Below are 19459 nucleotides of genomic sequence, written 5' to 3' on the forward strand. Positions count from 1 at the left end.
GTGAGCCAAGATCACACCACTGCACTCCAACCTGGGTGACAGAGCGAGACTCTTGTCTCCAAAAAAAAAAAGAAAAGAAAAGAAACTACCCTGAGACCACGATGCAGGAGAGCCCAGTGGATATGCTGGTGACAGCCGCAGCAGAGCCCCCAGCTCACACTCAGCATCCACTGCCAACCTTCTGAATGAACCATCTCAGACCTCGAGCCAGGCTTACCTCCAACTGCAACCAAACCTCAAAAGAGACCCAGGCAAGAACTTCCCATTGGAGTCCTTCCTGAATTTCCACCCTCAAAACAAACAATTGTAAATAACAACTTAATTGTTTTAATCCACTAAATTTGAGGATAATTTGTTACACAGTAATAGTAATTGAAGCACATTTCTTATGGAGTTAAAAAAAAAAAAAAAGGCTTGACACAGTGGCTCACGCCTGTAATCCCAGCACTTTGGGAGGCTGAGGTGAGTGGATTGCTTGAGCTCAGGAGTTTGAGACCAGGCTGAGCAACATGATGAAACCCTGTCTCTACAAAAAATAAAAACATTAGCCAGGTGTGGTGGCACACATCTATAGTCCAACTACTCTGAGGAATGAAGTGGGAGAATTGCTTGAACCTAGGAGGCAGAGGTTACAGTGAGCTGAGATTGCACCACTACATTCCTGCCTGGGTGACAGAGCAAGACCCTGTCTCAAAAAAAAAAAAAAGTGGGTATTGTAGTAATGCAGCAAGAGACCAAGAAAAGTAGGAGGTAGTGATCAGAGACCTGGCTGCATAAAAATGAAGATTCGGGAAATGGTGGCGTTAGGACTTCACCATGGTGAAGGTAGAACTCTTAATTTTCATCTTTATTAAATGTGTCTGTTTGCAGTTTTAACCATTGGCATATTTATTTTGTGTTTGTGATTTCTGTGAAATATGAGTACAATAAATACTGATAGTTTGCATTTGTTTTCTAATCTCTCAGAAAGTTGTCAGAAAATGTTCTCTGACTTTTTAGAATTGCTGTGGTCAGGACTGTGGAAGCTGTTGCGATTCCAACTCTCCCTTCTAAGTCCAATCAATTTTGTGCTTTGTAATGTCTATGCCATTCGTGCACCATAGAGGGAAGAAAGCGTTAAAATGGTCGCGTCACAACATCTTGATTTGTCATTGAAGGAGAAGGAGTCTGGAAGGACGCTGACAACGGGTGGTGGTCAGGAAGGAAAACCCAGTGCCTGTGGCCCAGAGGCTGGAGGAGGAACTTCAAGGAGGGATGTTCAGCTCCCTGTGGACCCCCATTTGTTCATCCATACAATGATGCTCTGAGGAGCACACAAGGAAGGTGCAAATTTGATAAAATGTGCATGATGTAAGGAGCATAAACCCCCTCAGGAAAGAGTTGCTGCCTTTTCACTAATGTATCCCTGAGCTGCACAGAGCAGCCCTGGGGGACTGGGAGGACATGTCCCCGGTGTGAGGAGCAGGGGAAAGGTGAGCCTTAAATGATCACCAACAAACAACAGGGCCTGTGTCTGGGGCTTACACCACGACATGTGGTCCTCGCAGCACCATTGCTCAGAGGAAGAAACCAAGATCTCGAGGAACTGAGTAATTTGCCCACGTTCAACAAGTTGGTGCAAAATGAAGAGTGGCTCCCGTATTTCAGACTTTAAGGCCGACGATCTTCCATCTGTGCTCTGGGGGCAAGATGGGAGGTCCACAGATAAAATTGCGGGCGGTATCCCCCATCTCATGGTCTTTACGCTCATGGGACCTGGGAGTGACCATCTTTTAAGAGGGAGGGAAGGAAGGGGAGAGGCTTGAGGAAGGTTTTGGGGATTAGGATCTAAGATGAAATTTGAGACTATAAGACTTCAGATTGGATGCTGTGGCTCATGCCTGTCATCTCAGCACTCTGGGAGGCCATCACCTGGGCTTGGGCCCAGGAGTTTAAGACCAACCTGGGTAACATAGTGAGACCCTGTTTTTACAAAAACAAACAAAATGCCAGGTATGGTAGTGTGCACCTGTGGTCCTAGCTACTCAGAAGGCTGAGGCAGGGGGATTCCTTGAGCCCAGGAGTTTGAGGCTACAGTGAGCTAGGGACACACCACTGCACTCCAGCCTGGGTGACAGAGTGAGACCCTGTCTCAAAAAAAAAAAAAAAAAAAAAGATTTTAAGCTTGCTGCAATTCCAGATGAAGGTAGATCCTGGAGGCACTTTGTGGGAGAGGTCACTACACTTGAGTATTAAAGACTGTTGACAGATCAGAAATCAAGGAACTGACTGACCAGGGTATTGGATGGGTCATTTATGTGGATGTCCAGATGAACCAGTTTGGTGAAAAGACTCAGGATCAAAAGCCAATCTGGAAAGTTGAGGTCAAACTCTCTGTGAAATCTGGGAAGGGATCTGGATTTTTTGGGAAAGGCAGGGAGTGGTTAATAGGCCCAGACTCCCTCAGAAATGGGGAATGTTCTTAGTGCTTCTAAAAGGGAAAAGACTGTTATGGCAAAGACCTGATGCCCCAGACTGGGTTAGAGACCATAAGCTCTCTCATTCATTCATTCACATGTCTGCTAAGCACCTACTGTTTGCCAGGCACCATGCTTGGAGCCTAGGGCTTCACAGAGAGATGACAGCCTCTCTTCTCTCCAGCCAACCCAAGTCAAGAAGGCAAGCATAAACTAGTAAATGGCTTTTTTTTTTTTTTTGAGATGGGATCTCACTCTGCCCCCCAGGTTGGATGCAGTGGTGTGATCTCAGCTCACTGCAACCTTTGCCTCCTGGGCTCGGCCAATTTTTTTTATTTTTGGTAGAGACATGTTTCCAGGCTGGTTTCAAACTCTTGAGCTCAAGTGACGCACCCACCTTGGCCTCCCAAAGTACTGGGATTACAGGTGTAAGTCACTGTGCCCAGCCAAGTAAATGCCATTCTTAGAAAAATACTGTAATTGGCATAAAATATAAATTGTGATGGGACACCAAAGAGTGCAGGTTCAATCAGGCCCTGGCCACAGGCCTCTCTCTGAGCTGGAATGGTGATACCCCCCTTCCCGACTTGCATGAGCTCCTTCTGCCATGTCGTTTCTGGTGTTTGTCACTCAAGTGCCTTGTCCTTTCCTAAGGAATAATTTTCCAGGCCAGGGGCGGTGGCTCACGCCTGTAATCCCAGCACTTTGGGAGGCCAAGGAGGGCAGATCACCTGAGGTCAGGAGTTTGGGACCAGCCTGGCCAACATGGCAAAAACCCATCTCTACTAAAAACACAAAAATTAGCCGGACATGGTGGTGATTGCCTGTAATCCCAGCTACTCGGGAGGCTGAGGCACGAGAATCGGTTGAACCCGGGAGGTGGAGGTTACAGTGAGCTGAGATCGTGCCACTACACTCCAGCCTGGGCAACAGAGCAAGTTCTGTCTCAAAAAAAAAAAAAAAAAAAAAAAAAAAAAAAAAAAAAAGAATTTTCCGCAGAACTAAGACATAAAGAAATCTTAGGGCACATAACTTTCATCAAGGGGGAAAAGGGATTGCGCTTTTGTTGAAATGCCAGCCTCCTTCTTTAGCCAATATTTAGCCAGGTGCTGTGGTTCACACCTGTAATCCCAGCACTTTGGGAGGCTGAGGCCAGAGGATAGCTGAGCCCAGGAGTTTGAGACCAACCTGGGCAATACAGAGAGAGCCGGTCTCTCTCTCTCTCTTTTTTTTTTTTTGAGACGGAGTCTTGCTCTTGCCAGGCTGGAGTGCAGTGGCGCAATCTCGTCTCACTGCAACCTCCGCTTCCCGGGTTCAAATGATTCTCCTGGCTCAGCCTCCCAAGTCGCCGGGACTACAGGCGCCCGCCACCACGCCCGGCTAATTTTTTTGTATTTTTAGTAAAGACGGGGTTTCACCATGTTGGCCAGGATGGTCTCTGGTCTCGATCTCTTGACGTCGTGATCCACCCGCCTTGGCCTCTCAAAGTGGTGGGATTGCAGGCGTGAGCCACCGCGCCCAGCCACCGGTCTCTATTTTAGAAAGAAAAAAAGTGTCCTGCAGTCTCTCCCTAGTTCTGCGCCCTCAACCCTGATCTCCCGCCTCCTCCCACAGCCACCGTCTCGAGCTCAGCTTCAACCATGGCCCTCCCCACAGGGCTCCATCCCAAGCCAGAGCGGGTCAGTTCCCTACACAGGGCCCAGCAACACGGTGCCCAAGAAAAAGTGTTTCCAGTGGGACGCATGTCGCCTCCGTGGGTGCTAACTTCTCCCAGTGCCCGTCGGTACGTCCGTCCGGCTGTGCAGTCTCTACTGAGTGCTCAAAGTCCACTTTTAGCCCCAGCCAGCATCCTCTGAGTACCTTGTGCTCGATTCTGAATCCAGCCCTGCTCGGCGACCCTCGTGCAGACGTCCCCGTGCAGCCCCGGTCAGCACCCCGTGGGGACAGCTCCGATCAGCACCCGACGGCGGACAGCTCCTCCCGCGCCTCCCGCCTCGCCCGCCACCCCGCTCCGGGCCGCACCCGGGTTAGGGTTCCTGGGGGGATCCTGGGCGCGGCGGCGCAGCTCCCGGGGCCGCCCCGGCCTCTCGCCCAGAGGAAACAGCCCACGGCGAACCCGAGGCCCGCGGACCCCGGCGCTGCCTCCTCGGCCTCCCGCCCCGCGCGGGTCCTCCAGGGCGGGGCCCGACGCCCACCCGCCCGCCCCTTCCCTCCCGCCCCTCCCCGGGAAAAATCCTCATCGCACGCCCGGCCCTTCCCCAACCAGCGCCCGGCAGTGAAGCCGCCGCCTCTCCTCCAACCAGCGTCCCCGGCCGCGTCCCTCCCCCGCCTCCCCCGCCGCCCTCCCCGCGCCGCCGCGGAGTCCGGGCGAGGTGCGCGGGGCGGACGCCGCAGGGCGTGTCACGAGGTGAGCGGGGCGGGCCGAGCGCCGGCGCGGGGCGCGGCGAGGCTCCCGCACCCCCCGCCGCAGTCGCGGGCCTCTCCCGGAGAAGATGGCGGATCGCGCGGAGATGTTTTCTCTCTCCACCTTCCACTCGCTGTCGCCGCCGGGCTGCAGGTACCCCCCTCGGCGCCCGGGCCGGGCGGACCCTCCGCTCCCTGCGCACCCCCCCGACCCCGACCCGGCCCGGACCCCCGTCCCCGCCGCCCCAGCCCCGCCGCCGGCGCGGACCCGGCCCCGGCCCCCTGCGGTCCCTGAGCCTCGGCTCGGGCGCCCCACCCCCACCCCGCTCCCACTCCCTCCATCTTCACCGCGCGTCCCCAGCCTCAGTGACCCCCGGGCCCCGCCGGGATTCTGAGCCGCGCCCGGCCTGGACGGCTGACCTGTCAAGGGTGGAGGCCCTGGGCCGACCCTCTGCGGGGGAGGATGCGGGCGGGATGCGGGCACACCCTCCCGGCGCGGCGTGTCCCGGTGGCCTTGGCCTCTTTCAGTGGACGCCAGACCTGGCCGATAGGGCCCGGCCGGGAGAGAGTGGAAATCAAGCCCGGAGCCCTGCGGGAAGGGACTGGGGTTGGGAGGACGCTGGGCCTCTGGGTTTAGGCCTCACTCCGCCGGAGAGGGGGAGACAAACAGGCCAGACTCTCTTCCCAGAGCAGGAGCGACCCCTCCCCATCTGCCGCTGCCGCGTTGCAGCTCCCCCTCCCCTGCTCTGCAAGACCCTGACCCCAGGGGCCTGGAGCTGCGAGTGGAGGGAGGAGAGGCTGCTGGCTCTCCAGGGAGGCGGGGTGGGAGGGGTGGGGGCAGGGTTGGCTCCTCCGGGCAGGCCTGGCTCAGATGGGGGAGGGGATCCACAGGCGAGCAGAGCTTGGGGGTCAAGATGATGGCAGGATGTGTTCCGAGAGCTGGGGGCTGTGGAAACCACTGGGTGTAGGAGCTGACGCCTCCCTCTGCCCCTCCTCAGGGCCAGTTGCCAGGCAGGGAGTCCAGGGTTGGTGGCTCTCTGACCCTGGTCTCCTTTCCAGGCCTCCCCAGGACATAAGCCTGGAAGAATTTGACGACGAAGATCTGTCTGAGATCACTGATGACTGTGGCCTGGGCCTCAGCTACGACTCAGACCACTGTGAGAAGGTGGGAGAAGAGTTGGGGACACAGATCCAGCTCAAGGGAGGGCCTCATTAGGTTCTTCTTAGCGTTCACTTGGGGTTTTAGGGTGGGTGTGAGCTCAGCCTTGAACCGGGGACTCCTCTGATGGCTCCTCCCCACTTAACCCTTGAGGTTTCCTTGGTATCAACTCTCTCTTATTCCAACACATTGCAGGCCTCCACGCAGGGCCTTCCCCAGCATTCTCCCCGACCCCATCGGTGGCCAGCCCGGGGCAGGGAGGTGCTCCTTTGCTTTGGGTGCCCTCTGTCCTCAGATCACTCCCAGAAAGATCTAATCCCTGGCAGCTGCCATCACAACCTTGTCCCCTCTGCAGCCCTGTGCCCTCGTCTGCAGCTCCCATCTGTCTGTTTCATGTCTCCCCCTGCTGAAATCTTTTCTCGTCCATCTCTTGCTTCTCCTCCTCCCTGTCTCTCCACATTTCTGCTTTCATTTATTGAAGAACATTTCTGAGCAACTGCCATGTGGCAAGTACTGGGGGCTTCTGGGTGCTGGGAGTGGAACAGGACAGCTGCTCTCTGGAGCTGCAACTTAGTAGGGGAGAAAGACTTGTAAGGGACAATGGCTGCCCACGTGTCAAGGGCTGCATTCCAACAGGGACATAAGTTCCACGAGGGGGAAGGGAACCCAATCCACACTGAAGGAATCAGGGAGAATTTCCAGAGGAAATGTCAACCATGCCCTGAGGTTAGCAGAGCCAGGCAGATGGGGTAGGTAGGAGGGAATGGAGGAGAGGAAGTGCCAGCATGGGGAATAACTGTGCCAATGGCCCTGGGGTTGGCGCAAAGTTGGTGAATCCTCAGAGTGCAGAGGCTGTCTCTCCATTTCTGCATCTGTTTGATGTTTACTGAACATCCGCTGAGCCCCAGGTCTTGTTCTTGGGGGCGGGTGCAACAGTGCATAACATGGACATGACCCTGCCCTGGTGGGGCTTGCAACAGACCAAAAACCATGTCCAGTAACTGTAAGTTGTGTTAAAACGCTGCGAAGGGAACACAGTGCTGGTGTCAAATGTGATGGGGTTCTGCAGTTAGATGAGTCTGAAAGTGGGGCTGGGGCTGCTCTGAGAATCCCTGTCATTCAGCTGTAGAGTTTAGGCCCTTCCCAAGAACTGGAGTGATCCCAATGTGTGTTAGGCAGATTTTGAAAACATCGCCCTGTAGACAGAGGGGCAGAGTGAGCTGGAAGGGGCTCTCCTTTGACTGATGCTCCCCGATTTCCCTTCTCCTAGCACCTGGGCCCCTGGGCTACTGCTGCCCTCTGGCCCAGCCCTGCTATCTCCCTCCGTCCTGCAGGACAGCCTCTCCCTGGGGCGCTCGGAGCAGCCGCACCCCATCTGCTCCTTCCAGGATGACTTCCAGGAGTTTGAGATGATCGATGACAATGAAGAGGAGGACGATGAGGACGAGGAAGAGGAGGAGGAGGAGGAGGAGGGAGATGGGGAAGGCCAGGAGGGAGGAGACCCTGGCTCAGAGGCACCTGCCCCCGGGCCCCTTATCCCCTCCCCTTCCGTGGAGGAGCCCCACAAGCACCGGCCCACCACCCTCCGTCTGACCACACTGGGGGCCCAGGTGAGTGCCCGGACCCACAGCTCCCTGGAGCTGAGCCTGGGTTCATAGCACCTGGGCTGCAGCCAGCCCTGCTCACCCCCTGGGAGCTGGCCCTCCTCAGGACCGCCGTCATGTATCTCCACCCCAGGACTCCCTAAACAACAACGGAGGCTTTGACCTGGTGCGTCCGGCCTCCTGGCAGGAGACAGCGCTATGCTCACCCGCCCCGGAGGCCCTCAGAGGTGAGGGGTGGTGGGCCCGCGGGGCGCGGGGAAGCGGGGGAGGAGGGCAGGGAGGATGGACTGGCTGCTGGAAGAGGCCTGGGTGGTGCAGAGAGGGTGACCCCACCTCCCTGCCCAGCAGAGCTCCCGGGCCCCCTCCCTGCCACGGACACCGGGCCCGGCGGGGCGCAGTCGCCAGTGCGCCCGGGTTGCGACTGCGAAGGGAACCGGCCTGCGGAACCCCCTGCGCCAGGGGGGACTTCGCCCTCCTCAGATCCCGGCATCGAGGCTGACCTGAGAAGCCGCTCGAGCGGCGGCCGCGGGGGACGTCGCAGCAGCCAGGAGCTGTCCTCGCCCGGCTCCGACTCGGAGGACGCGGGCGGCGCGCGCCTGGGGCGCATGATCTCGTCCATCTCGGAGACGGAGCTGGAGCTGAGCAGCGATGGCGGAAGCAGCAGCAGCGGCCGCTCCTCGCACCTCACCAACTCCATCGAGGAGGCCTCGTCGCCCGCCTCGGAGCCGGAGCCCCCGCGCGAACCCCCGCGCCGCCCCGCCTTCCTGCCCGTGGGCCCCGACGACACCAACAGCGAGTACGAGTCGGGGTCGGAGTCGGAGCCGGACCTCAGCGAGGACGCGGACTCGCCCTGGCTGCTCAGCAACCTGGTGAGCCGCATGATCTCCGAGGGCTCCTCGCCCATCCGCTGCCCCGGCCAGTGCCTGTCTCCTGCGCCGCGCCCGCCCGGGGAGCCCGTGTCGCCGGCCGGCGGGGCCGCCCAGGACTCCCAGGACCCCGAGGCGGCCGCGGGGCCCGGCGGCGTGGAGCTGGTGGACATGGAGACGCTGTGCGCGCCGCCGCCGCCCGCGCCCGCCGCGCCTCGACCCGGCCCCGCGCAGCCCGGGCCCTGCCTATTCCTCAGCAACCCCACGCGTGACACCATCACGCCGCTGTGGGCCGCGCCCGGCCGCGCCGCCCGCCCGGGACGAGCCTGCTCCGCCGCCTGCTCCGAGGAGGAGGACGAAGAGGACGACGAGGAAGAGGAGGATGCCGAGGACAGTGCGGGGTCCCCCGGGGGCAGGGGCACGGGCCCCTCGGCGCCGCGGGACGCGTCGCTGGTGTACGACGCGGTCAAGTACACGCTGGTGGTGGATGAGCACACGCAGCTGGAGCTGGTGAGCCTGCGGCGCTGTGCTGGGCTGGGCCACGACAGCGAAGAGGACAGCGGCGGGGAGGCCAGCGAGGAGGAGGCGGGCGCGGCGCTGCTAGGCGGCGGTCAGGTCTCGGGGGACACCTCGCCGGACAGCCCTGACCTCACTTTCTCCAAGAAGTTCCTCAATGTCTTCGTCAACAGCACATCTCGGTCCTCCAGTGAGTGAGAGGTGGGGAAAAGGGGGGTGGCCCAGAGGAAGGTGCAGACTCCCTGGCCCCAGTCCCAGGGTCCCCCACAGTGCCCAGGGCCACCTGAGGGTCTGGCTGTGGTCAGGGCTGGGTGCCCTCTCCCACCCAGGACATGGCATGAGGTGGCCTGCTCTGCCTCAGCTCCTTCCCGCTCGTAGGACACCTACACCGGACTGTGGAGGGGACTTGGCCTCTGCCCAAGGCCAGGCCTCTAAGCACTACTCTGACTCTGTCTCCCTGTCTCCCCCGCCTCTGTCCTGCCGGGTCTCCCAGGCACCGAGTCCTTTGGCCTTTTCTCCTGTCTGGTCAACGGCGAGGAGCGAGAGCAGACTCACCGGGCTGTGTTCAGGTACGGCCTCCCTCCTTGCTGGCGGTGGCCCCAGCCTCAGTCCCTGCCATCACGGAACGCCAGTGGACACGACCGTCAATCCCGCCCCCCTCCCCAGTGACCTCTCCCCCAACGGCAGGTTCATCCCGCGGCATCCAGACGAGCTGGAGCTGGATGTGGATGACCCTGTGTTGGTGGAGGCCGAGGAGGACGACTTCTGGTTCCGTGGCTTCAACATGCGCACGGGGGAGCGCGGTGTGTTTCCTGCCTTCTACGCCCATGCGGTGCCCGGCCCTGCCAAGGACCTGCTGGGTGAGGTCCCAACCCCGAGGGGAGGCTTTTCACCCCAGATCCTCCCCTGTGCCCCTGCCTGACCTGGGCCCTCTGTGCCCCGCTCCCCAGGGAGTAAGCGGAGCCCCTGCTGGGTGGAGCGCTTTGACGTGCAGTTCCTGGGCTCCGTGGAGGTGCCCTGCCACCAGGGCAACGGCATCCTGTGTGCAGCCATGCAGAAGGTCAGTGTGGAGGCCGGGCAAGTGCAGGCTGAGGGTCCGCTTGGCGGCCACACCAGCACTGCAGGCTGGCACAGGGCTTGAGGCTCCAAGGTCTGAGGTCTGATTTCCTCCAGGGAGGGTCTGGGGGATGCTGCAGGGGGAGCTCGGGGTGGGTACCCCAGGCCCTGGTTCAGAGGCCTGAGCAGGTGAGTCTAGGGCAGAGCACAGCAGCTGTCCCTCATCACCTCTGGGTCTCTGGGCCACAGATCTTCCAGGTGGCCCCGACTGCCATCAGCCCTTCCTCTTCCCATCTGGAATCAAGACCAGCCCTCACAGCCCCTTCCCTGGGAGCCCTCTACTCATCCACTCACTCAGTGGACGTTTAGTGAGCACCTGCCCAGGCACCAGTACTGAGGCTGAGGCTGGGGGGCAGTAGGGAGCAGGGCAGAGCAGCCCAGGGCGGGTGAGGTCTCTGTTCCTGGCTCCTGAGCCAAGCGCAGCAGCCTGCCTGGAGGAGCAGAAGGAAGATGAAGCAAGCTGACTGCAGAGAGGCGATTGCTCCTCCTGAGCCTGAGGAGTGGCCAAGGCCACACCCCTTATGTCTTCCAGAATTGCATCTCAGGGTCCTCAGCATGTGTGTCCTCAAACATAAGCTAAAAGGAGCAGAGGCGTAGTCCCACCAAGGGGAAAGAAAGGCCCTTGTGGGCTCCTCAAGACCCTCTTCTCCCCCAACTTCTTCTGTAGATTGCCACTGCCCGGAAACTGACCGTCCACCTGCGCCCTCCTGCCTCCTGTGACCTCGAGATCTCTCTTCGGGGGGTCAAGCTGAGTCTGAGCGGAGGAGGGCCCGAGGTGGGAGTGTGGGGGACTGGGGACCGGGGACTGGGGGATAGGGTTAGGCCACGGAGTCCGACGGGGCCAGGCTGGCAGGGGTGTCCAGTAGGTGGGAGGCAGGGGTGGCGCCAGGCCTCCTTTGACACAGGGACTTCTGCCCACCTCTGCTCTAGTTCCAGCGCTGCAGCCATTTCTTCCAGATGAAGAACATCTCCTTCTGCGGCTGCCATCCCCGCAACAGCTGGTGAGAGTCTGACCGTCCCCGAGTCCCCCAACCGCCCCCACAAACCCTGAGAGTCCAACCGCCCCCTGAGTCCCCACAGACCCTGAGGGCTGCCCGTGCCCAGCCCTGAGAGCTCCACCTGCACCCACTTAGCTCTGTGAGCTGAGCCTGCAGTGGCGCCTGCTCTGAGCTGGACTCAGGAGGCGTGGGTCAGACAGGCTTGCATCCAGTCTGGGTGGAGAGAGGCACACGGGCGAAGGATGTGAGAAGCCTGTGTGGGTGCAGAGGACGCCTGAGTGGGCCTGGGGCTCAGGATGGCCAGCCTGGAAACACAGCAGGTGACAGCGGTGGGGAAGTGGATCTTCCTGGTGGGGTCTAGCTGAGCCAAGGGTGTGGGATGCACTGGTCGGGGGCTATATAGGCTCTGGGGCCCGCGTGTAAGGGGAGCAGCTAGAAATGCCGGGGAAGACCTGGACCCTTTTGATTATGCCAAGGAGCTGTACTTAATCTTGCTGGTAATGAGGCCATAGAAGGCTCCTAATGGAAGGAGGTGACACAGGGGACCTGGGGGCTGCTGAGGTTATACAGGTGCTATGTCCTGAGACCAAGTGTGCAGATGCAAGAGGCACTGAAGAGGCAGTACAGGCAGGACCTAGGTTGACCGGCTGTAGAGGGTGACCTGGAAGAGACCAGGGTGACGTCTCCCTGGGGGATGGTTGTACTGCAGCCCACACACCGAGAGGGGATGCGGGATCAATCACAAACGGTGAGACTGAAGTGGCCGTTGGTCCCATGGGTCTGGAGTTTAGGAGGGAGACCTGGAGGGAAGATACCAGGTCAGAGCAGGTAGATCACTGAGACGAGAGGGGAATGGCCAGGCAGGGTGAGGGGAGGAGGGGAGGAGGAGGTGCTGGCATAGGAGCAGCAGGCCAAGGGGGGCTGCCAGCTTCCCTCCAGGCACAGGCCCCTGCCCTCTGTGTCCCAGCACCCTAGAGGAAGGAGATCTGGGAGGAACCAGAGAGGCAGAGCCAGCCAGAGGCTGGAAAGGACTTGCGGGGAGTTGGAGGAAGCAGGCTCACAGACAGGCAAGACACAGCAGGGCACGGTGCTGCCAGGACTGAGGCGTGGGACAGACGTCAGTGCATCTTGGGGGCCTTGTGGACTCTCCCTGTGGTCGAGAGTGAGGGTGCTGCCTGCTGGAAGGTGCGGAGCCCTTTTGTGTTGTCCCCGCCGAGTGCAGAGATGGTCTGATGGGATCCATGCGGAAACGCTGCTCAGTGGGGTGGAGAGGTGGGACAGCGGGCAGCGATGCAGACCAGACTGCGGGGCCAGCTCTGGGGTGGAGAGGTGGGACAGCGGGCAGGGGCGCAGACCAGACAGCGGGGCCAGCTCTGGGGTGGAAAGGTGGGACAGTGGGCAGGGGCGCAGACCAGACAGTGGGGCCAGCTCTGGGGTCACCAGGACAGCGAACGGGGCGCAGACCAGACAGCAGGGACAGCTCTGGGGTGGAGAGGTGGGACAGCGGGCAGGGGCGCAGACCAGACAGCGGGGCCAGCTCTGGGGTGGAGAGGTGGGACAGTGGGCAGGGGCGCAGACCAGACAGTGGGGCCAGCTCTGGGGTCACCGGGACAGCGAACGGGGCGCAGACCAGACAGCAGGGACAGCTCTGGGGTGGAGAGGTGGGACAGCGGGCAGGGGCGCAGACCAGACAGCAGGGACAGCTCTGGGGTGGAGAGGTGGGACAGTGGGCACGGGCGCAGACCAGACAGTGGGGCCAGCTCTGGGGTCACCGGGACAGCGGACGGGGCGCAGACCAGACGGTGGGGCCAGCTCTGGGGTCACTGGGACAGCGGACGGGGCGCAGACCAGACAGTGGGGACAGCTCTGGGGTCACTGGGACAGCGGACGCTGCCAGGAGAGGAAGAATGACCCAAATTTCTCATCAGAAGGAAACTGGGTGAAGCTCAGGTCTCAGGCTGGACAGGGCCCCAGCTAGAATTTCGTGAGAGGAAGGTGGTCAGTCGAGTTTGGGGTTTGGAGTCAAGATGTGGCAGGGGTGTGGGAGGAGGTGGAGGAGCTGCTGCCCTGGCCCAGACCTTCCTAATATTTGTCACCCCAGACCCCCCGTCCCCGGTCCCTTGCCACGAGGAGGCACGGACGAAACCGTGTGAGGTGAACGATGAACTCGTTTCTTCATGGCGGTGGTGGTAGGTCAGGAGAGCGTGGGGTGTGCTGTGTTGGGATCTGGCATTAGGATGTCTGGTGTTGGGATCACAGACTGTAGCCTTTTCTCCCAGGGCTGCCCATCCTGCCTGTGTGTCCTGGGCAAGCTCCTGAACCTCTGTGCCTAGCTCTCCATCAGGGCCCTACCTCAGAGGGCTGTTGTGAGGCTTCTGTGAGTTAATGGAAAGGGCAGAGGATGGTGCCTGAGTAATGCAGGAAGCCAGATCTGTGGGTCGGCGCTTATTACCATCATGACTTGAACGCGGCATTTGAGGCGGGCCCTGTGCTCTGTCTGTGGACAGCGTGCACACACTGTCCTGGCAAGCAGACCATCATGTGGCTTCCCATTTGGTGGAATCGCAAAGCCCCGAAGCCATGGGGGAATGGACGGGTCGGCCAGTTTCAGGGGTGGGGGTGGGGCAGCGTCCTGCTGCAGAACTCTGCCTGCCTCTCCCTCTGGACGACGATTTTTGATTTTTGCTAATGTCTGGGTGGAGGAGCTGGGCAGTGACTCCATGAGCGAGGCCCCGCAAGGAGCTGCTTTCCAGTGGGAGCGAGGGGTAGACCGGAAGAGGGTTTTACAGACCAGGGGTAACGTCCAGCCCCACCTCGGAGCTGGGCAAGGGGCTGTCAGTCTGCTAGGCCCGCAGGAGGAGGCCTGAGTTGGCAGGAGATATGGTCTCCAGTAGCCAGGCAGAGGCCTTGCTCTGTGGTCCTGGGGCAGGCCCTGAATAGGGCCACAGAGGGTAGCAGCACCGGCTCAGAGAAGGGAGAGTGGACGCCCCTGGTCATCATGGAATTAACTCAGAGCGTGAACTCTTGGTAGGTGCCCAGCCCTGTGCTTGGGCTGAAACCAAAAAAAGACAACTTCAGATCTTGAAATTGTGCGACCCCCACACTCCTGTCCCTTACCCTCTCCCCAAGCCCTTTGTTCCTGCCTCTTCTCTCTACATCATTTGTGGGGTGGCCAAGGCTGGGCCAGGGCTCTGACGTGCCCTCCACACTGACTTGCCCGCAGCTATTTCGGCTTCATCACCAAACACCCCCTGCTGAGCCGCTTCGCCTGCCACGTCTTTGTCTCCCAGGAGTCCATGAGGCCGGTGGCGCAGAGTGTGGGGTGAGTGGGGCCCCAGGGTGTGGGTGCAGAATGGGTGCAGGGTTACGGAGGTGGGGAGCGGAGGTGAGCAGGTGGGGGCAGGAGCCTGGCAGGGGAGGTCTGGGGAAGGAGAACCAGATGTGCTGTGTAGAGAGGGCAGTGGTGGGTGACAGTTTGGGGTGCTGGGCATGGGGTGGGAACAGGCACAGACACATGGCCCAGGCACTCTGGCAGGGGTAGAATTGCTGGGCCAGGAGAGCTGAGGGTCACACTTGGGGGTGACATGGCCATGCCTGGGTGGGGGGTTATGGATGGCTGCAGAGGGAGGAAGGAGGGAGAGCTCAGAGGCTCTGTGGAAGGCAGTTTGGGGGTTGAGGACCGGCCCTGAGTGGCTGGTGGAGGACCGTCTTTCCCCAGCCGCGCCTTCCTGGAGTACTACCAAGAGCACCTGGCGTACGCCTGCCCCACGGAGGACATCTACCTGGAGTAGCCTGCCCACCGCTCTGTCTCCTGGCCGTCTGCTCCAGGCGCAGCTGGGGCTGAGGATGTCTCAAGAGGCCACCATGGCTTTGGCAAGGACTGGATTGGGGGGACATGGGACCTTACGCTTGTGGGGGTCTGCGGGCTGGGAACTCTCGTCCTCGGTCCCCAGGGCGCAGCTGTTGGGGCTGCGGGGGAGTGGAGCCCCCGTGCCCCTGCTTTTCCTCAGATCCGTTCTTTCTCTGTGTTGTCCTCCTCCTTCCCTTCCCAGTCTCCCTTTTCTCTCTCCTGGTGTCTCTGCCCCTCTCTGTGCCTGCAAACCTTATCCTCTATTCTTCACTTTGGGGTCAGAACTTCGGGGGTGTGGAGGAGGTGCGGCTCTAGGGACAGGTAATGTCGGCTTCCAAGTGATGCCCTCCTGCCACTCCCCTGCGATTTATAAGGGAATTTTAATTTTTATAGTGAATCTCAAGGGATCATCCCATCCTTGACCACAGGGACAAGAGGGGCCCCCTCGCCCCAGCCCCACCCCACATGGAGCTCAGGGGGAAGCAGGGAGGGGTTCCCAAAAGAGCCCTGCGGAGGCTAGGAGTGGTTCTTGATGCTCACCTGAAGCCCCTAGACGCTGCTAGGAGGGGGGGCCCTCCTGGGCCCCCAATACCCCTCCGCTTGCCGCTGCTAGCGCACCCCTGCAGTCCAGCGTGCATCCACCCCACGCACGCCCCGTGCTGTGTTCCTGGGCCCTGCCCATGGCCTCAATAAACTCTCTGCTTGGTGTGACATTGGCTGTTTCTAGAGGGTGCTAAGACATGGGGCCAGGTGCCCAGGGGCTGCCCATTGTGGTAGGGACAGAGTCCCCAGTGGCGGGAGTGTTGTGGCAATCTCACCCTTTTAGCTCTTTCCGAAATTGTGCCGGGGGTCCCTGCGGTGCTGCTCTGGGGCCTTATCTGAGGTGCCGTATCTAGAAGCACCCTTGGGAATTCTCCCTAGATACACTCGATTGGCCACAGAGGAATCCGAGGCTGTGCAATGGGGTGTCCTTTCCACGTGCACGGACTGGGGGCCAGCACGGCTCAGGTCAGTGTGTAGTGGGGGCATGAACTCCTTGAAGAACAATCTGGCCGGGCACGGTGGCTCACGCTTGTAATCCCAACACTTTGGGAGGCCGAGCCGGGGCGTATCACCTGAGGTCAGGAGTTTGAGACCAGCTTGGCCAACATGGTGAAACCCCATCTCCACAAAAAATACAAAAATTAGCTAGGTGTCCTGGCGCACACCTGTAATCCCAGCTACTCAGGAGGCTAAGGCATGAGAATCGCTTGAACCTGGGAGGCGGAGGTTGCAGTGAGCCAAGATTGCACCACTGCACTCCAGCCTGGGCGACAGAGGGAGACTCCGTCTCAGAAAAAGGAAAAGAAAAACAATCTACTTAGATCTTAAAATGGATATTTAAAAAATTCTCCAGAGAAAGCCAGAAGAAAATAGGTGACTTTTTCACTATGTGCTTAGGTGACTGCAGATGCCCGGCAATGTTCCCTCCCAGGCCCTCCTGGGTGAGCCCGCCTCCCAGGCAGGGGTCAGCATGGCCGGGGTCCCTCTGTCTGAGCCCAGGATTCGTGCAACACCAGGAAGACAACAGTTGAAGGTTCCTTAGTGAGCTAAGGGAAGTATACACAAACTTACTACATAAACATTAGAAAGTGCTGTCCGTAAAAAACACGTCTTCACAGAGCCAACAAGCAGAGAAATAGCTGCCCAGTGTTAGGAAGTGCATCATGATCCAGAGGTTCAGCCCGTGTGCAGCGCACAGACCTGAGGCCCCAGAGAGACCGAGGACGCAGACCAGTGGCACGACGGAAACGCAGAACGTTTATGAGAAAACTTTCCTACTAATTGAGATAAAGCTGTAAAGAGGCAGATAGCCCCACTGGGTGTGTACGTTTGAAACTTGTGCCCCCTGGGCTAGGGCATTCGGGGTGTGGCCCTCAGTCCCCTGTAGCTGCTGCCTGGAAACCGCTGCCACCCACCCACCTCCTCCCTCTGCTCTTCCACTCAGGTGAGAATTCTCCAAGCCCTGCCCTCCGGCGCCCCCGTCCCGCCCCTGCCCGGCCTGGCCCCGCCCCTGCCCGGCCCCGCCCCCCAACGTGTCTTCAGGTCTCTTTCCCTCCAGCCGGCCCTTAGGACGGCTGTTGGACGTGCTCGTGAGTCCTTCGCCTGTCTGCCTTCCACCTCTCTGCAGCTCCTTCTCCAATCTCATGGTCTTCTTGAGCTTGGCCGCCCTCCACGCCCCATGCTGGGCTTGGTCGGTTCTGGGGTCTACCTCTCTGGCTTCATCCCTCCCACAGTTTCGAGGGTTTCCCTGTGCTCAGGCCCCTGGCAGCCGCCCCCTGTGCAGACCACTGGGCAGATCCAGCTGACCTCCAGGGGCACTTCCTCGGCTCATCACTGGGCCGGTGCTCTGCAGAATGAGCTGTGAGAGCCACTGTGGCTGGCCAGAGGGTGCCACTCACAGTCACTTCAGACTCACAGGAGCCTTCGTCCCGACCCCTGCATTCATCTGTGTTCTGTTTTATGTTTTTTCCCAGTCACCTGAGCTGCAGGCCTTGGTCACCCCAGACTCCTCCCTCCTGTCACCCTTATCCTCACCCCAGCACCTTTACGTCTGCCCCAGGCTCCATTTCCCCCTCTTCTGCCTGGATCAAACCACCCTGACTTTCCTGGGTCTTCGTGCAACAGCCTGCTCCGGCCGCTGCCTCACTGCACCTGCAAATCCACTTGCACCCACACCCAGGCCAGGGTTTTTAAACAGAAGCCTCAGCAGATCCCTCTCTCTGGCCAGCTCCCTGTTGAACCAGGAAGCAGGTCCCTGTTGAACCTCAGCATGACCCGCCCCCACCCCTGCATCCCACTTCTGCTCTGGGAGCCTCTGGGTTCCTGGGCGCACCTGCTGCCCTTCCCTGTTTGTCACTGGGTGACCTCCCGTCCTTGTGGGCGCTCCCGGGCCCTGGTCTCGGGCCTTCTGAGGACTTGCTCTCCTGGTAGCGGCTGCTGACTGTGAGCCCAGAGAGCAGGCGTGGCTGTTGACCTTAGGTCCTCCCAGAACCTGGCGGATCGCCTGGCTCCCAGGCAGGAGGCGCTGCATGACGCCTCCAACTTCCGCCAATCTAGCCCAAGGATGGCGTTCTAAATAAAACGCGTTCTACAGAAAAGTGTTTATTGCATTCTTCTTTGAAATAATGTAAGCATAAAAGTAATCTGAATATTGACCAATAGGGTTAATTGATTAAGGTATATTTACCTAATTGAAATATTGGGTAGATGTGAAAAAAAGTTCCAATGTTTGTAATTACACAGAAAATTTCTGTTATGCTATTAAGTGGAAATAAATTTCTGGGCACAGCAGCTCATGCTACTGTGTAATCTTAGCAATTTGGGAGGCCAAGGTGGGCAGATCCCTTGAGTCTGGGAGTTCGAGACCAGCCTGAGCAACAAAGCGAAACCTCTATCTCTACAAAAAAAAAAAAAAAAAAATACAAAAATTATCTAGGTGTGGTGGCACACACCTGTAGTCCCAGTTACTTGGGTGGGTAAGGGAGGAGGATAGCTTGAGCCTAGGAGGTTGAGGCTGCAGTGAGCCATGATCATGCCACCACACTCTGGCTGGAAAGAGCAAGACCCTGTAACCACAATGAAAGAAAAGAAGAGAGAGAGAGAGAGAGAAAGAGAGAGAGAGAGAGAGAGAGAGATGAAAGAAAGAAAGAGAAAGAAAGAAAATAGGCAGGGTCATATGTAGCATTCTAGAAACTATATGTTGAAAAATGCTGAAACACAAAAAATGTTAAAAGTCATTTTTGGCCGGGCGCAGTGGCTCATGCCTGTAATCCCAACACTTTGGGAGGCTGAGGCAGGCGGATCATGAGGTCAGGAGATCGAGACCATCCTGGCTAACACGGTCAAACCCCATCTCTACTAAAAATACAAAAAATTAGCCGGGTGTGGTGGCAGGCGCTTGTAGTTCCAGCTACTCGGGAGGCTGAGGCAGGAGAATGGCATGAACCTGGGAGGCGGAGCTTGCAGTGAGCCAAGATCGCGCCACTGCACTCCAGCCTGGGAGACAGAGCAAGACTCCGTCTCAAAAAAAAAAAAAAAAAAAAAAAAAAAAAAAAAAAAAACCACCTCATTTTTGCTGAAGTTGAGCTGAGGGTGTTTCTCTTCCTTTTTTTCCTGCAGCAAATATGTCTTAATTTTTTGAAGTATTATTTGCTACTTATTAGAGACCTCCAAGTGCAAATGGAAATATCCACAGAAAAACTAAAGATAAAAAAGTTAAGATAAATTAATCAAACTCAAACAAAAAAGTTATTTTGGCTACAATAAAAATACCACCCCATAAGGTTATCATAAGGCTTAAATGAATCTGCCAGTCAGACAGGCCAAGGGTAGTGCTTGAGTAAGTTATTATTTTTATAAACACTATAAAAGTAGGATTTCCCTATTTTTAAAAATATTACTTTCCCTGGCTGGGCGTGATGGCTTGCACCTGTAATCCCAGCACTTTGG

The 19459-nt window shown here is 58.5% G+C and overlaps 1 protein-coding gene across 4 annotated transcripts, besides 3 other annotated features; it reads left to right on the plus strand.

Moving 5' to 3' along the window:
- Window positions 4333-4512: a silencer, noted in NCBI's record as "silent region_14003". NCBI's record gives its function as "represses an Ori minimal core promoter by ATAC-STARR-seq in GM12878 lymphoblastoid cells {active_cell/tissue: GM12878}" and the evidence as "EXISTENCE:reporter gene assay evidence [ECO:0000049][PMID:35858748]".
- On the plus strand, window positions 4923-18108 carry MAPK8IP2 (mitogen-activated protein kinase 8 interacting protein 2). Of its 4 annotated transcripts, none has more exons than XM_011530679.3 (12): window positions 4923-5013; window positions 5919-6024; window positions 7353-7628; window positions 7756-7849; window positions 7968-9194; window positions 9498-9573; window positions 9692-9864; window positions 9955-10064; window positions 10788-10895; window positions 11051-11121; window positions 14342-14440; window positions 14837-18108. In XM_011530679.3, exons 1-12 carry the CDS (start codon window positions 4949-4951, stop codon window positions 14907-14909), a joined length of 2478 nt encoding a protein of 825 aa, XP_011528981.1. In that variant the 5' UTR covers window positions 4923-4948; the 3' UTR covers window positions 14910-18108. The 4 variants fall into 4 exon arrangements, with proteins under 4 accessions (XP_011528981.1, NP_036456.1, XP_011528982.1 ...); NM_012324.6 differs by having other exon boundaries at window positions 7971-9194; XM_011530680.3 differs by having other exon boundaries at window positions 8082-9194.
- Window positions 5302-5802: an enhancer, noted in NCBI's record as "H3K4me1 hESC enhancer chr22:51039601-51040101 (GRCh37/hg19 assembly coordinates)". NCBI's record gives its function as "activates a minimal SCP1, AML or CMV promoter by ChIP-STARR-seq in naive H9 embryonic stem cells {active_cell/tissue: H9 hESC(naive)}" and the evidence as "EXISTENCE:reporter gene assay evidence [ECO:0000049][PMID:30033119]".
- Window positions 13357-14141: an enhancer, noted in NCBI's record as "H3K4me1 hESC enhancer chr22:51047655-51048439 (GRCh37/hg19 assembly coordinates)". NCBI's record gives its function as "activates a minimal SCP1, AML or CMV promoter by ChIP-STARR-seq in naive H9 embryonic stem cells {active_cell/tissue: H9 hESC(naive)}" and the evidence as "EXISTENCE:reporter gene assay evidence [ECO:0000049][PMID:30033119]".

The sequence above is a fragment of the Homo sapiens genome, chromosome 22 (assembly GCF_000001405.40).
Source record: "Homo sapiens chromosome 22, GRCh38.p14 Primary Assembly".
Classification (NCBI taxonomy): domain Eukaryota; kingdom Metazoa; phylum Chordata; class Mammalia; order Primates; family Hominidae; genus Homo; species Homo sapiens.

Excerpts from the sequence above, each read along its gene's own strand:
- MAPK8IP2 (XM_011530679.3), top strand. The coding sequence starts at position 4,949 with ATGGCGGATCGCGCGGAGATGTTTTCTCTCTCCACCTTCCACTCGCTG. Across the intron at positions 9,865-9,954 it reads CCCTGCCAAGGACCTGCTGG|GGAGTAAGCGGAGCCCCTGC; the intron begins GTGAGGTCCCAA and ends CCCGCTCCCCAG. Across the intron at positions 14,441-14,836 it reads CCGGTGGCGCAGAGTGTGGG|CCGCGCCTTCCTGGAGTACT; the intron begins GTGAGTGGGGCC and ends GTCTTTCCCCAG.